The sequence below is a fragment of the Homo sapiens genome, chromosome 13 (assembly GCF_000001405.40).
Source record: "Homo sapiens chromosome 13, GRCh38.p14 Primary Assembly".
Lineage (NCBI taxonomy): Eukaryota > Metazoa > Chordata > Mammalia > Primates > Hominidae > Homo > Homo sapiens.
This window is the reverse complement of record NC_000013.11, coordinates 46,058,729-46,076,206: the sequence shown is the minus strand read 5'-3', so window position 1 is coordinate 46,076,206 and position 17,478 is coordinate 46,058,729. Positions and strand designations below refer to the sequence as shown.

At 38.1% G+C, this 17,478-nt stretch overlaps 1 protein-coding gene and 1 long non-coding RNA gene across 5 annotated transcripts in view, besides 3 other annotated features; one reads left to right on the top strand and one right to left on the bottom strand.

Annotated features, from left to right (window-relative positions):
* CPB2-AS1 (CPB2 antisense RNA 1) overlaps window positions 1-17,478 on the bottom strand; it is a 48,500-nt gene that overhangs the window by 25,141 nt on the left and 5,881 nt on the right. The gene's annotated exons all lie outside the window — the stretch shown is intronic.
* Window positions 1-17,478, top strand: part of CPB2 (carboxypeptidase B2) — a 51,848-nt gene that overhangs the window by 28,827 nt on the left and 5,543 nt on the right. For 2 of the 3 annotated variants that reach the window (NM_001872.5, XM_017020393.3), the window contains exons 6-8: window positions 2,230-2,334; window positions 8,790-8,900; window positions 11,466-11,559. In NM_001872.5, the coding sequence (NP_001863.3) occupies window positions 2,230-2,334; window positions 8,790-8,900; window positions 11,466-11,559 (310 nt within the window). The remainder of the gene's footprint in view (window positions 1-2,229; window positions 2,335-8,789; window positions 8,901-11,465; window positions 11,560-17,478) is intronic. The other variant, NM_001278541.2, reaches the window with a different exon arrangement.
* Window positions 4,363-4,432: an enhancer, noted in NCBI's record as "active region_7688". NCBI's record gives its function as "activates an Ori minimal core promoter by ATAC-STARR-seq in GM12878 lymphoblastoid cells {active_cell/tissue: GM12878}" and the evidence as "EXISTENCE:reporter gene assay evidence [ECO:0000049][PMID:35858748]".
* Window positions 4,463-4,652: an enhancer, noted in NCBI's record as "active region_7687". NCBI's record gives its function as "activates an Ori minimal core promoter by ATAC-STARR-seq in GM12878 lymphoblastoid cells {active_cell/tissue: GM12878}" and the evidence as "EXISTENCE:reporter gene assay evidence [ECO:0000049][PMID:35858748]".
* Window positions 4,663-4,722: an enhancer, noted in NCBI's record as "active region_7686". NCBI's record gives its function as "activates an Ori minimal core promoter by ATAC-STARR-seq in GM12878 lymphoblastoid cells {active_cell/tissue: GM12878}" and the evidence as "EXISTENCE:reporter gene assay evidence [ECO:0000049][PMID:35858748]".

Below are 17,478 nucleotides of genomic sequence, written 5' to 3'. Positions count from 1 at the left end.
AATTTGATTTTTCCCTTCCAATTTAGATGCCTTTTATTTCTTTCTCTTACCTGTTTGCTCTGGTTAGTACTTCCTGGTACAGCTTTTGAAACTAAAGTAAGACCAGGACAACAAATCCCAGCAAGGGACAAACAGCCGGACAAGGCTGAAGTCCTTTGCAGTAGGGTTCTTATGATGGTTTCTACTCCAATTTCCACCCATTTGGTTATTTATTTTCAGTTGCAAAATATTATGCAAGAGAAATTGATTAACCTAACTTGGATTGGATGTCTTCTCTCTTGAATAAATTGACCTTAGTAAAGGTCAGTGAACATAGCCACAGCCAATTGTTTTCAGAACTAGGAAACAACTCTATAGTTCTGTTTTCTACCTCTCTCTCTTAAAAAAAATTTTTTTTAAAGCTCTGGAAAATAATGTAGTCACTAAAAATGTACATTTAATTTAGTAACATATAATTTATGCACAGTATCCCAATATTATCTAAATTGTGATAGGTGAGCCTCTTCAGTCATTCAAAGATAAGACTTTGGGTTAGGACTTCTCAATTTTAATCTGTCGTTTACAAGAACTTACAGTGCAGACTCAAGGCAGACATATGAAATGTTGGGTCCCCTTGGTCACTGAGTTGGTCAATCAGATTGGATCCATGTATCATGGCATATCCACCCATGACATTTGCTTTCAGCCATGTTGTGTGTAGTCCTTGGAACATACTTATCTGGAACCTGTACACGTTGAAAAATCATGCATTCTGGATGGTTTGGTCCTACTCTTACTTGATCAAGGATGTGCAGATAATGTGAGTCTCTGGGATTTTGCCAACTTTTCGGTGTCAGAACCAGTGCCAAGAAAATTGGCCCAGGACTTAGAAAGGTCAAGTAAAGTAACGAATCCAGACAACTTAAGATTTTCTTTGCATTGAGTAGATTAAGCTAGGTAGTTCTCTTTGACTATACAATTTGACGATTAGTGGCCAATGCCATTGGGCTTTCTTACTTACTATCCTGTTAAATATTGCTAGCTCCAAGTTAGGAAAAAACCTCCTGGAGTGGTTCAAATGACAATCTAAATATCTAACTCTTTCTTTTTCTTATTTTGGAATTGCAAGTCTACATATTTGTTTGATTTTACAACAGTCTTCTCCCTTCCCTCTATACCAGTGGTCCTCAACCCCTGGGCTGCAGACAGGTACCAGTCCATGGCCTGTTAGGAACGCGGCCACGCAACTGGAGATGAATAGCCAGCGAGCAAGCATTACTGCCTGAGCAATGCTTCCTGTCAGATCAGTGGCAGCGTTAGATTCTCATAGGAGCACAAACCCCACTGTGAACCGCGCATGCAAAGGATTTAGGTTGCATGCTCCTTAGGAGAATCTAATGCCTGATGATCTGAGGTGGAACAGTTTTATCCCCAAACCATCCCCACCACTGATTCCACCCCAACTCTGCCCCATCCATGGAAAAATTGTCTTCCATGAAACTGGTCCCTAGTGCCAAAAAGGTTGGGGACCACTGCTCTATACCCTAAACTGTGTTGTAGCTGACTTTTAAAGGCAAATACATTATGATTAATTTTGGAGGTGTTCTTGATAATTCTTCTAAAGACATCAAAGGCTATTATTGAGAAAAGGTTGATGATTCTTATTCCAGAGTTAGCAGCTTGTGTTAGCCCACCATACTGGGAAAAAAGCCTCTGTCCCTGGATTTGCTGGTAAGTTCGTGAGAGGTTAGATGTGTGCTTCTTTTTGTGTGAAATAAAGAAATAATCCACATAAAAAAAAAATATGCACTCAGGAAAATCTTGAGGGAGTTTTTGCTCTGGGTGTGTCTCCACACCTCCCGGGGAAGATTGCCATCCAACTCACACCCATTTACCTCTAAATGAAGCATGAAGATACAGCCCAAATCATTAGTTCTCTGGTCTCTTCTTTGAAACTTCCACATGCAGCTCTGACATGACTGCATAATTGTGGAGGATAAAAACAGTTTTAAATCAAAGAGTCCTGGCTTCAAACTTCAGTTTCAATTCACACCAGCTTTGCTACCTTAACTAATGTCACTTAGTATCACCAGTGTTTAAATTTCCCTTGAGAATTTTCAAAGAAATGCAGAACAATGCATATCTCAGAGATTTGCTGAAACTATTAAATATAAGCACTATATAAATGAAAGTTATTATCCTGAAGCTTATTGTTACTGTTTTTGCTACTTTTGGGGTTTCTTTGAGCAGGTTTCTGGAAAAGAACAAGCAGCCAAAAATGCCATATGGATTGACTGTGGAATCCATGCCAGAGAATGGATCTCTCCTGCTTTCTGCTTGTGGTTCATAGGCCATGTAAGTATTCACATTCTCTTAACCCTATTTCTCAAAATGGTGCCCAAGATCACCTGTGTCAGACTCAACTGGGCTATTTATTAAAATGCATTTTCCTAGGTCACATCATGAAGCTTGGGAATCTACAATTTTCACAAGTTTCCCAGGTGACTTTTATGCATTAGTAAGTTGAAGAACATGACTTCAAGCATTTAAATCACCCAAAATATTTTTGGTCTTTTCTACATTTCTGCCTGGAGCTAAACAGTGGAAAATGATTAAGAAATAGTACATTGATTATAATATGTTTACTAAGTAGAGGAAAGGACTGAAGGAGTTATCTAAGTTGGGGCCCAATTAATTTATTTCTCTTTTGGTTTTAATTATCCAGACATCTTTTGCCACCTTTGCCCTTGGAAATTGAACATAAAGCACAACATTACAGAGGTGAAACAGAATATGTTTTCTCATATGTCATAATAGGGAATTTTGTTCCTGAAGAAGGGTTTTGCATCAAAAAAGCCATATATAAGACAAACTGTATGTTGGAAAAGTAAAAGATATAACGACTATTAACCTCCCTGATGAATGAAAACAGTAAAAATTATGCTTCAAATCCTATAAAATGGGCATATATGTTCTCTACACTGATTTCTACAAAGAATCATAGCCACTGGAAAAATAACTCAAAATATGTGTCTTTCTGATAATGATTTTTGCAGTCTTTGCATTCACAGATACATAGTAACAGAATAAATGAGTTAGGAAATTAAGATATTGGCACTTATTAAGTACATCAAGATAAAACTGTTTCTGTCTTTGCTTGACCTTGACAAATGCAACATCCCTATTTGCCTTCATTCACTGTGAATCTTCTATCCTCCATTCTCCATGGATGGGAGCTGCAACCTCCCTGAGTCTACTGGAAATTCCCAAACACCATTGGTACTACCTTGGCCAAATGAGGATGATTCCAACTGATCAGACCCTTAACATATCCCAGTCACATCATGATCTGGAACCTTCCCCAAGTTGAGTAGTTTGGTTATTTTAGGTAGTGAAGGGAGCAGCAGTTAATAGAGAAAGGTCCAAAGTAGGAGAGTAAGAACATTTATTTTCCATTCTATCACTGAACATGAGAAGGGCCAAGAAGAAACCTCCATTCATATTGACTCTAATTTATATCGGTGAGGTTGTCCCTAATGACTGCCCTTCTCACCCTGACACCTCTGCCCTCCTATTAGACATCCTACCCTCTACCCAAACTGCTTGCTGAATCTTTGTAAGATTAAATTATTTAATCCACAAATATTTATAGATTGCCTATGATGTTTCAGATCCTGGAAATACAAGGATGAACAAAATATAGCCCAAGGATCTTATAGCTGAGTATTTTGCTCCAACAATGTGAACCTGATTTGTGTAGCCCAAAGAAACATAATCAATAAGGGCTTTTTAAATCGACATTTAAACTCCATTCTTGCCTGCCTAAAACTAATTCAGATCATCTGACTCTCTTAGTACTTCAAAGCACTGGAGGAGGGAAAGTAAAATAAAATATTTACCTTTCAACAATTGTGAAGGTAGGTTTTATATTCAAAAACTAAACCACCCAAAGGCAAATTAAAATCTTAGCTTTTAAGTCTCTCACTCTTTTCTACAACTCAATAAGGATTTCAAAAATCTTATAATCTAGTCTCAGTGGAAATCCACTACACTACACTTTGAGAAGCTTGAAGCCAGTCATTTCTTTCTAAGCTTCTCATTCATGTACTCTCGGGAGGCAAATTTAGATCCTTCTCTTTCCGCAAAGGCAGAGCTGAGACCAATTTGTGCATGACTGCATCACCAAGCCAAAATCCGGCACAGGGCTGGCACATCATAGGACCCAGTGAATATATGTTAACCATCACAACTTGCCAAGTACTTTTTCTGCCAAATGGCTTTTCTCACTGCTAACCTCCTGCCAAACCTCTGCCCTAGAAAACTCTCATCTAATTGCACACAAAGTTAGAGCTCTACAACCTCAGGGCCTTCACAGAATTATCTCTGCCCCTCCTCACCACAGCTGACACATGACCTAAGGACACTGCTCCCTGGTGGCTCCTTCAAGTAGAGGGGCTGCTCTTTTTTTCACATCACCATGTGCTGAGAGGCCTGGTGGAGTAGATCAGCATTCTCTTCTCCTGATACTACCAATGATCCTTCTCTTCTCAGAAACTTACACAAACTGGTTGCACTCTTATTTTATTGCTATCGTGCACTGACCTTCAGATAATTTCCTGGTACCCGGTTCATGATTCTTTATTCCCCTCCAACTCTTGCCATCATTCTGAGTGAATTCAAAGTCCATGTGTGAGAGTCACCTAACAATGTATCTTCACAGTTCCTTGTTCTCTGTTCTACTAAACCTCATCTCAACTCCTCTTTAGCAGATTTCTCCTGTAGCCATCCTCTGGATCTCAGAAGTAATGTTTTGCTGATCCTTAGACCCAGAATGTGGCCATGGACAGCAACAAGGAATGTTAGAAGAAGCCATCTAGCAATGTAACTTCTTAATTTCCTGTCTTCTCTCATTTCTCACCCCTACTATGACTGCTTTTTTTTCAACCTTAGCATATTTCTAGTTCCTACACAGATCTATATCATTTTAATTTATCAGTCCCTTTCCAGGAACACTTTCTTCACTAATTGGTCCCATCACAAATTCATCCGAACCCTCAATTTCTTGCTCCCTTGACCTGCTCTTCTGGAGTTCCAACCCCAAACACTCCACAGAATTAACCATCCTTTTTCTGAGCCACCTTGTACATCTTGCCATTGTTTATTATCATACTTATATTAATAGCATTGAACTGCTGCTTTTCCCTTTCCAACTTATCACTTCTATTAGCTTTCTGAAGGCAGAGACCAGGTCTAAAGTAATTTTTTTGTTCCCCATAACCTGGTATATTGTTTGGTCAACATAATTGGTGCTCAATATCCCCTTGTGGAATTTGAAATTTAAATTAATGTTGCAGGTTTAGGCTGACATACAATTTTGGGTTGCAGAGAGTATCTAAACAGTACCTACTGTTGGGATAAATACTTTATTGTCATTGGCTACAGTTCAAACTATACATACATATATAGAGATTGGAGTAAAAACTGAGACGGATAGCTCTCTGATATATTTGTAATGGTAATGAAAATGACATTTTGTTTTAAAATTTTCCCTTCATGTGTCTTATATTTTTTTTTAGCAACCCCATTAACTGACCTATATGTCGTTATGTACTAATTTATTATCTCTCAAATGGTCATTGGTTAATTCCTAGGCAGGAATTGTTGTTGTTGTTGTTGTTGTTTAGGGCCACATTAAAGGCAAAGCTTGAGTGCACCCCAGGCAAAGTGAGAGGAAGAGCTGAGTAATCATTGACCACAGGCCAGCTGATGGGAATCAATCCCACCCTCTCATCACTCAGTCTTACACTCTTCTCCATTCTCCTCTATTCTCATCTTCTTTTTCTTTTATACAGAGGCTTCTCAATTTATGGTGGGGTTATGTCTCAATATACCCAATAAACAATCACAACTGAAAATATTCTAAGTAAAAAATGCATTTAATATACCTAATCTACCGAATACTGAATATCATAGCCTAACCTTCCTTAAATGTGCTCAGAACACTTACGTTAGCCTACAGTAGGGCAAAATCTTCTAACACAGAGCCTAATTTATAATAAATTGCTGAATATCCATATCACTTATTAAATACTGCACTAAAACTGAAAAATGGAATGGTGGCATGGGTATGGTTTCTACTGAATATGCATTGCTTTTGCGCTATTGTAAAGTCAAAAAATCATAAGTGAAGTCATTGTATATTGCAGACCAACTCTAGTAGGACAGGATTTCAGTTATGTTACTTGCCATGTTGGTAAATCGTACCTTCAACAAATATTTATTTGTCGTCAGGCAAAATTTCTTCAGTCACTTTGAAAAACAATGTGGAAGTTCCTCAAAAGATTAAGTATAGAGTTACCATATGACCCAGCAGTTCTACTCCTAGGTGTATACCCAAGACAAGTGAACACATATGTTGACAAATGATTATAGCAATATTATTCATAATAGTCAAAAAGTGGAAACAACTCAAATTTCCATCAACTTATGAGCAGAAAAACAAAATGCAGCATATTCATGCAATGAAACATCAATCAGCAATCAAAAGGAATGAAATACTGATTCATGCTACAACATAGATGAATCTTGAAAATACTATGCTAAGTAAAAGAAACCAGATACAAAATGCCACATATATTATTCCATTTATATGAAATGTCCAGAATGGGCAAATCCACAGAGACAGAAAGTTCATTAGTGATTGTCAGAGGCTTGGGGAAATGGCAGGAGGGAAAGGGGAGTGAGTTATAATGGGCATAGGCATGGGGATTTTTTATGATGAAATGTTCCAAAAATCAGATATTAGTGATGGTTGCAAAACTCTATGAATACACCAAAAACCGCTGAATTTCACACTTTAAAATGGTGAATTTCTGGAATGTAAATTATATCTCAATAAGCTGTTAAAGAAAAAATGGGCACCCCTTCCTTCGGGATTGTAGCTATAGCCACACTTGAAGGTGTGGCTTGGCACACAGCACAGACTGTATTTCAGCCCTCACTCACTCCTTCTGTCTGGAGTCCTACCTATTAGATAAAGAAATAGGTAACATTGTTCTGGGCCTAACATCGGTAATCTCTCAGAGCATAACTTTTTGTAGAAAGATTCCCATCCAACCAGAGGTAAAGGTAGGAAGGAAATTTAAAAAGTGAAGCAGAAAAAGAAATTCATATGCTGCATCTATTAAAAGTTTGGCCCATGTTGTAGAAATGAAAATGAGAAATGCTTTATTATTTGCTTTATTATTTTAAAAGGAACAGGCTCTCCTAATATTTTTCTAATAATGAATGCTACATTATTACTGAAAAGTGATGCTAACATAAATTTATAAATTCGTAACATAAAAATGTATTTAACTGGTTGCTCGACTATTTAAAACATGGCTTCCCTGGAAACCATCATTCTCAGCAAACTAACACAAGAGCAGAAAACCAAACACCACATGTTCTCACTCATAAGTGGGAGCTGAACAATGAGAACACATGGACACAGGGAGGGGAACATCACACACCGGGGCCTGTCGGGGGTGGGGGGCTAGGGGAGGGAGAGCATTAGGAGAAATACCTAATGTAGATGACGGGTTGATGGGTGCAGCTAACCACCGTGGCACGTGTATAACTATGTAACAAACCTGCATGTTCTGCACATGTATCCCAGAACTTAAAGTATAATAAAAAACAAACAAACAAAAAAACAAAACATGGCTTCCTTCATTCTACAAATTTTGCTTCCTTTTCATTAACCTTTTATTTCTGACCTACAGTAGATTTTAAAATAACTTTTTTCTTTTCTTTCTCTCCGATTTCATAAGTATTTATTCATGGCAAAGATTTTTAATGTGACTCTTGTGATTGTTCTAGGGAAATATGAATATAATATTTTAAACGTTTAAAGGGAAAATAGTAAAGTTTATAAAAGGCTTGTTTTTATTTTGTCAATAATGAAAAAGACATTTCTTAACAATGTCATGAGTATGCTTTAAGGCAACAAACAATTATAAACTAAATTAAATATTTAATGTAATTAAATGTGAATTAAATTAAAATATAGCAATGTTGCCACAAATTAAGATTTTGAACCAAAAGCTTTGTCCTAGATGAAACGATTTGACCAGCTAAAATTTGTCTTTATAGTTCTCCTGCCTGTACATTTTGTCATTTTGGGGTAAACTTCTCAGTCACCAAATTTGGATGCCATTGGATCACACTGCAATATGTGCCACTAAGCTGGATGACTCTAAAGTAGAGAGGAACAAGTTTGAGATGATGTCCGTTAGGAATTCATAGCCAGTTCCTAGGAAAAGCTACCCTAATTCTACAGCTAGATGATCAAAGCCTTGGGAAACACACTCAATTCTAGCAAAACTTGAGCTCCACAAGTTCTAAGGACAATGTAGCCAATATCATGTAATCACATCTGGGGATAAAACATGGTAGGTAGTTTAAGCTCTGATGAACATGAATTACAGAAAAAGGAGCTAAACTAAATCTAGGTTTTTGTTTCCTTAAATCTTCTTAGTGGGCTCTATGGCTTTAATAAAGAATTAATTTTATTTTTTAAGGAAAATTTAGAAAGTTTATGGTTCGATTGTCTGCCTTCATTAACTAGGAATACTGGACCACGTGTAAGGCATTTATCACCACTTCGTAGCACCCTAAGTTCAGTTCTTTTGAGGAATTAGCACTCTTTCTGAAAGTTAAATCTGCAAATCTAAACATGCCAAATGACAAATTAAAAAAAAGAAAAAGAAACACACTAAGTTTAGAAGAACTTAAAACATCTAATTAAATATACTTGGTTTAATTTGCAGATAACTCAATTCTATGGGATAATAGGGCAATATACCAATCTCCTGAGGCTTGTGGATTTCTATGTTATGCCAGTGGTTAATGTGGATGGTTATGACTACTCATGGAAAAAGGTAGGAGAAAAGGCAAAGAAGACAAATCATGTTCTCCTTGGGGATATAGGATATACAGGTTGAATTATTCATAGAATTCTGGATCTAGGCACAATGGCTTTATTATTAATTTTTTTTAACTTTTATTGTGGAAAATGTCAAATATATATATAAGTGCACATAATTGTGTAGTAAACTTCTATCTACCCATCATAGAGCTTCAACAATAATTAACTCATGACCAGTCTTGTTTCATCTGTATTCTCTCTACCCACTTCTACCTTACTCATTTTATTTTGAAGTAAATCCTAGGTACCATATCACTTCATCAATAAATATTTCAGTATGCATTTCTAAAAAAAAAAGAACTCTGAAAAAAATAATTATAGTATAATTATACCTTAAAAACTAGCTGTTTCTGAATACCATAAAATATTGCCAGTATTTTCAATTGTATAATAACTTTTTTTTTTTTTTTTTTTTGAGATGGTGTCTTGCTCTGTCGCCCAGGCTGGAGTGCAGTGGCACGATCTCGGCTCACTGCAACCTCCACCTCCCGGGTTCAAGAGATTTTTCTGCCTCAGCCTCCTGAGCCACTGGGACTACGGGTGCCTGCCACCATGCCTGGCTAAGCTTTTTGTATTTTTAGTAGAGACAGGGTTTCACCATATTGGCCAGGCTGGTCTCAAACTCCTGCCCTTGTGATGCACCTGCCTCGGCCTCCCAACGTGCTGAGATTACAGGCATGAGCCACCTCGCCCGGCCTCCTAACTTTTTAAAAAGTATGTTTCTTTGATTCTGGATCCAAATAAGGCTCTTACATTATGATTGGTTTATATGTCTTTTAATTCTATTTTAATCCATGAACTCACATTCCATCTTTTGCTCTTTCTCTCTCTTCTTTTTTTCCTTGCAATTTATTTGTCAAAGAAAAGAGTTTCCCATTATCAGGATTTGCTAATTGCATTACCATCTTGTAGTTTAACATGCTCTTCTGTCTGTATTTTCTGGTTACTCAACATTGTGATTCATGTAAAATTACTCAAGCAATATGAAATACTCTGCTTTCTAATTTAAAGAGGGGCACATAGAAACATAACTAGGTATATATAAATTTAGAAAAACCTACTTGAGTAGCACATATAAATACTAAGAGGAATAAGATTAGTTGGTGTGATTGGAAACATGGAATTACACATGAATTATTTCATGTAGGAGGTAATTTATGCAGAAGATATGGAAATGGCACAGGAGATTGAGGAAAAAGTCATCTCTGGTGAGAGGAATACTGTAACTGAAAATTTTGTAGGTGGAGGTGGGCAAATGCCAAACTAAGTAAATGAGAATTACCTAGCATAATGCCTAACACAAATTTGGTGTCCAATGAATGGTCATATCTGTAAACTGGTAATAAAGTATATTTACACCTTAACCTGAATCACAGTGGAATTCAGTCACCCTTTAGATTTCCAGCTTCCCAACTGTTCTTTGTATCATTACCCTATTATTAATTCCCACAGTTTGAGAACTTGATATCCCCAGGGCCTATTGTTGCCACGGAACCACAGGCCTGGGAGTGGTAACAGGCTGGAAGGCTTGGCGGAGGGTTGGTGAGAGTAGGAGAAAAGGGTGCTACATCATCCCAAACTCAGAACTTAAATGAAGTATGTGCAACTCTTTTTTTTTTTTTTTTTTTTTTTTGAGACGGAGTCTTGCTCTGTCGCCCAGGCTGGAGTGCAGTGGCAAGATCTCGGCTCACTGCAAGCTCCGCCTCCCAGGTTCATGCCATTCTCTTGCCTCAGCCTCCCGAGTAGCTGGGACTACAGGTGCCCGCCACCACGCCTGGCTAATTTTTTCGTATTTTTAGTAGAGATGGGGTTTCACCGTGTTAGCCAGAATGGTCTCGATCTCCTGACCTCGTGATCCGCCCGCCTCGGCCTCCCAAAGTGCTGGGATTACAGGCGTGAGCCACCGCGCCCGGCCTGTGCAACTCTTTACATGACCAAACTTTCCCAGTTTACCCCAAGAACCCAATAGGGAATTTGCTTTATATTTAAAAACCAGAGTCAAATCAGCACAATCGAAGAAGTCATCAGATTAAAGGTGTCTTCACATCTCCACCTTTTCTAGCTTTGAAAGGGGAGTGGTGAATTCTACCTAAAGAGAGCATTTTAACTTATGACTCAGCGTTCAGTTGAGACACAAAGTTATTTTGCTTTTCTTCGAAGGAGCTCAGAATGACCCTGTGCATAAAATTAATGTAAAGGAAACAAGACTAAACAAGAAGGCTAATAAGCAGCCTAGTGGAATGAAAGGAAATCTTTATTTGTATCAGTCAAAATTGATCAAATATTACCATTATGTTTGGTTCAACTAAAATAGTCTGAGTGGATGTGATTGAAACCCGGATAGCAATAGGGACCGTGCAAAGGAATATTGCAACAACAGTGATGTGATGAAGCCATGCAAGGTATGGGATTGAAGGAGAGAAAGGCAATTCTGGCTTCATGGACTTTCAAATGCATGTCTTTCCTCAGGCCTTGAACGTGGCTACCCAGGTTGTCTGTTTGTATTTTGTTTATGTAGAATCGAATGTGGAGAAAGAACCGTTCTTTCTATGCGAACAATCATTGCATCGGAACAGACCTGAATAGGAACTTTGCTTCCAAACACTGGTGTGGTAGGTTGTTGGCTTTATTTCTTGCAATGTCTCTTCACTGAAAGGGTGATGTTCACAGGGAAAGGCCCATGAATTCAAATTAAATACAGAGCTGGCCTGTCTGAATCAGGGAATAATTTAAATGATAAATGCTTAGGTAAATGTAATGCTGCGACTGTTGGCCAGAGTCAGCAAATCACTTTGGCCTCTCCTCTCTCCTGTTTCCCTATCTTTAAAATAAGAAAGTTGAATCAGTTTTTTAAGATCCCTTCTAGCTTCAAAATTCTAAAATCTATTATCTTGGAATAATAAAGAAGTGACAGTTAAAGATCCTATTTTAATAAACAAAAACATTCATCATTAGAATATCAAAGACCTGAGATGGGGGGAGGACCTCTCTTTTTTTTTTGAGACAGAGTCTTGCTGTGTTGACCAGGCTGGAGTGCAGTGGCACAATCTTGGCTCACTGCAGCCTCTGCCTCCTAGGTTCAAGGATTCTCCTGCCTCAGCCTCCCAAGTAGCTGGGACTACAGGCATATGCCACCGTGCCTGGCTAATTTTTGTATTTTTTTTAGTACAGATGGGATTTCACCATGTTGGCCAGGCTGGTCTCAAACTCCTGGCCTTAAGTGATCCGCCCACCTCGGCCTCCCAAAGTGGCTCACAGGAGTGGGCCACTGTGCCTGGCCTGGACCCCTCATTTTTAATTGCACAAGTAAATGTTTACTTCTATAGTGTTTGAAGACATTTTTTTCACTATTCACTTTCTTAATTTCTTTAATAAATAATATAAAGAAAATATAAAAATATTAAAAATAGTATAAAAAGCAGCACAGTGGGAATTTATTATTTCTTAATTCGAATGAGTTAAGGCATTCGATGATGTTGAGTTATGCATTCAAGAACAGTCTGCTTTCAGGAGTTTGAAGATTTTTTAAAGAACTAAAAGTAGAATTACTATTTGACTCAGCAATCTCATCACTGAGTATATACTCATAGGAAAATGAATCGATCTACCCAAAAGACACATGCAATCATATGTTCATTGCAGCACTATTCACAAGAGCAAAGACATGGAATCAATCTAGGTGTCTGTCAATGGCGGATTGGATAAAGAAAATGTGGTAAATATACATCATGGAATACTACACAGCCATAAAAAAGAACAAAATTATGTCCTTTACAGCAACATGGATGCAGCTGGAAGGCATTGTCCTAAGTAAATTAACACAGAAACAGAAAATCAAATACTGTATGGTCTCACTTATAAGTAAAAGCTAAACACTGAGTATACACAGACATAAAGATGGGAATAGACACTGGGGACTCAAAAAAGGGGCAGGGAAGGAGAGAGAGGGGAAAGAGTTGAAAAAGTACCTAAGTGGTACTGTGTTCACCATTTGGGTGATGGGTTCAATAGAATCCCAAACCTCAGCATCACACAATATATCCATGGAAAAAACCTGCACATGTACCCCCTGAACCCGAAGACAAAGAAGTTTGCTTTTAGGGGGGTAGGTGTTAGTTCACTCTTTCTTCCCACCCACTCAACATTATTTTTCATAGTACTACATTTCAGAAACAGCTACGAAAATAAACTAACCTGACAAGGAGTATGCATCATCTATATTTTTGGGCTCCATGGGGCCCATAAGGGAGAGAAGCTATTGTATCCACAGAAACATCTTCTTCCTCCCAGACCTGGACCCTATACAATCCTATGCACATAATTTTGCCTATTTCCTTTAAAAAAGGTAAAATTTCATGATTTTAAACATTTTATCAAAATCCCAGAATACCTATTAAAACCTCACAACATTCAGCCTGGGAAAGCTGATTGCTAAAACAAAAGAAAACCAAACCTCACAACAAAGCACTTACCTTATTTCCTTATTTTTTTCCCTGTCTAGGTTAGAAACTCCATGCAGACAGAAACCAATACCCATTATCTAGTGCAGTGCCTGGCACAAGGAGGGTCCTCATAAAATATTAACTAAATGAGTCCATGAATGAATTTAGTTGCTCTGAGAGCTACAGATATGGTAGGAACTCAGAGGAAGAAGCAGTTCATCCCGACTTAGGTTCCAGGGAATCATTTAGTGGTTTCTCCCTAAAAAACCACTCGTGTTCCCAGAGGCCCAAAGTTTGCTGTGGCACTAATAACATGCCAGGGGCTCACAGGAACAGCAGCCATGTAAAAAGAATCTAAGTAAATAGAGCTGACAGTTACTCAGCGCTGAGCCATTGACATAGTTCATCTTCCAGATTTCATTATCTATGAATCATAGATGGAGAAACCCGGGCTGAAAACAGTTAAGTCCCTTCCTCAAGGGCACGTAGCAAGTATGTGCAAGTACGTGGCAGAGCTGGGCTATAAACCCAAGTTATCAGTTCCCTTTTGGAAGTTTTTATTTTATCTTCAAGCTCTTTTGGTGCTTGATTTTACTTAATATTTTTCTTGGTGAAGTCAGTGTTATTTAATTTGGATAGCCAAGTAGTCAAAATATATTCTGTTATTGTCATCAAGAAATGTCTCAGTCCCCTCTTGGGCATGGTGCTATATTGTTATGTATCATAAGAGTGAAAAACAGAAACAGAAGCAGCAAGCATATGGGTTTTTAACTAAAAAAAAAAAAAAAAAAACCAAATAAAAAGTAATTGTAAGGAACTGTCCTTATTACCAACTGTTCCAGTATCTATTCTGTACTATGTAAGCAAGACAGTGAGAAAGAAGAATTTAATCTTTTCTCATCCCTACAACTAGAATGTGCCCCTATGATTCTTTATATAAAGGATCCAAAAACACCTCACTTATTAACAGGAAGTGACATATCAAACCTACTTACTCATTTTATGCTCCTCTGTATTAAAATTTTGTGTGTGTGTGTGTTGGAGATGAGAGTGGAGGGTAGGTTGTAGGGGTGTCTTTGTCTTCTCAGGCTGCTATAACCAAATACCATAGGTTGGGTGGCTTAAACAACAGAAATTTATTTTCTCACAGTTGAGGATTGGGAGTCCAAAATCAAGGTACCAGCAGAGTGAGGTCTTCCTGAGGATTCTCTCATTGGCTTGTAGATGGCTGCCTTCTCTCTGTGCCCTCACATGGCCTTCTCTTTCTGCACAAACCTCCCTGGTGTCTCTCTTTATTCCTATAAGGGCACCAGTCACATTGGATTAGAGCCCCATGCCTATGACTTCATTTCACTTTGTCTCCTTAAAGGCCTTATCTTTAAATACAGTCACATTGGGGCTTAGGGCTTCAACATAGGAATTTGGGAGGATGCAATTCAGTTCATAACAGGAGTACATTATGAGAACCTTTGGTCTCAAACTTCCTAAGATAGCACCACACATTTTCTAAAACACTGAGTTCAACTACAAAGTTTTTGCAACTGGCTTGAATGGAAAATTCTTTATTTCTTTTTCTAGGAGACTATAGTGTTTTTTAAAATTATTTTTTATTATGATAAAATACATGCAATATAAAATTTGCCATTTTAACAATTTTTAATTGTACAGTTCAGTGGCATTAAGTACATTCACAATTACTACTATCTATTACTAAAATTTTTTAATTGTCCCAAAGAGAGATTTTTACTTATTGTAACCAGTAGGCAATATCTCCTCATCCCTACCTTCTCCCCAGCCCTTGGTAATTTCTTATCTACTTTCTGTCTCTATGAATTTGCCTATTATAGATATTTCACAGTGTGCTTGGTTCCATGTCTATAGATCAAAGAATGCTTGAGCTTGGAGGGATCCAGTGGCCCAAGTTCCTTCCTGGTACAGATGAGGCCCCTGAGGCTGAGACGATGAAGTAGTTGCCCAAATTAACATGACTGCTTAATGGTAAAGCAGAGTCTCGACCTCAAGTTTCCTGCCTCTTCAGGGCTCTTTCCACTAAAATGCTTGAAATCTCTAGAATGACAATCATAGAATGAGAATCTGAGGCTCACTGTCCAGCATAGTAGCCACTAACCACATGTGGCTATCCAGTGCTTAAAATGTAGCTTGTCTGAATTGAGACATACACTGAGTGTTAAATACACACCAGAATTTGAAGGCTTAGTATGAAAAAAGTAACATAAAATATTTCAAGAATAATTTTTATATTGGTTACACTTGAAATGATACTTTGTACATATTTGGTTAAATAAATTACAATATTGAATTAATCTCACATATTTCTTTTTGTGTGTGTGTGTGTGTGGCAGGGTCTTGTTCTGTCATCCAGGCTGGAGTGCAGTGTCATGATCTCAGCTCACTGCAACCTCTGCCTCCTGGGTTCAAGCAAGTTTCGTGCCTCAGCCTCCCAAGTAGCTGGGATTACAGGCGTGCACCACTATGCCTGGCTATTTTTGTATTTTTGGTAGAGACGGGGTTTCACCATGTTGGCCTCGCTGGTGTCGAACTCCTGATCTCAAGTGATCCGCCTGCCTCAGCCTCCCAAAGTGCTGGGATTATAGGTGTGAGCCACCGTGCCTGGCCTTCTTTTTATTTTTCTTAAAGTGGTAACTTGAAAATTTAAAGTAAATATGTGACTTGCATTATATTTCTATTAAACAACCCTGGTCTGAGGATTCATATTAGGGCACCACCTCTCTATTTAGTGGTTATGTCTTCCCCGACCTCCATACCCAATATATAATCTCTATTCTCTAAGAATTATATATCACATAAAAGGGCAGGAATATTCAAAGGTGACCGAACTATCAAAAATGGTTTATCCAATCACCTTATTGGTTAAAAATGAAATACTTGGGAAGACCTTAGATGTTCACATTTCCTCTCAGGGAAACAATTTTTTAACAAACATTAATGTTGTGTTTGTATAATAACAGGAATAAAGCAGAATGAGCTTAATTAAGAAAAGCAGGCTCTGTAAGGATAGTGAGTAGCCTCAGCCATGGACTCCTGAGGCAGAGATGCAGCTGGACTCAGAAACAGAAAGGAACTGGGCCTGGAGCCCTAGAGAGGCTCAGTGAATCCTTCCTCTCCCCTTCTCATCTCTGTGATGCACACTGGCTTCTTTCAGGTCTCAGTCCACATGATGATGATGATGATGATGATGATGATGATGATGATGATGATAAACAGCAACAGTTATGAAATGCATACTACATGCCAGGCACTGTGCAAAGCACTTTGTATGAACTAGCTCATTTAATTCTCATTCAATCAGCATTTAATGTATAATTTTTCAATTTTGCAGATAAGGAAATTGAGATACAGATAGATTTTTAAAAATTTACCCAAAGCCATATAGCTAATAAATGGTAGTCAAGATTTAGAATCAAGTAATTGGGTGCTTAACAATATGCTGTATAGCCTCTTATTCTGAAGAGTGGTTACCACCAAGAATATCCAGATTGCATCTCCTAAAATGACAGTATTTACTTCATAGGGCTGGTGTAAGAATTACATGAGATGTGGCAAAAATCTTAGCAGAGTTCCTGACGTACAGCATGTGCTCCACAGGTGTCAGCTGGTAGTATTACTATTTTTACTGTCTGTTCAAGAGAGCAGCTAGACTGAGACTAGACTCTTAGTATTGATTTCAAGTTATCTTTGAAGGGATTCAGATTGGCAAGCACAAGAGTCAGACCCAATCCTGAGCCCTCAACTGTTTGCAGGAAGGAATAATCTCTTGTGTCAGATGCAGCTTGCTGGGGCTTCACCTTGTGAATTAGGGACAGGGGGAGAAGTGTTGGAAGGCAGCCTACCATCTCAAGTGATGCAAATTATAATCTATCAAAGGAATGAATGAACGTTGGTCTGGCAACAAATATCACCATCCCATTTTATTTACTAAACTTACTAAACCACTTTAGCAAGTTAAAAGTAGCACTGAAGGCAGATTTACATATTCTGAGCTCTGAAGTGAGGCTTTTCTTTTATGGGCTATATTGATGGTAGCTTTAAAACTACAAATATCAGAAA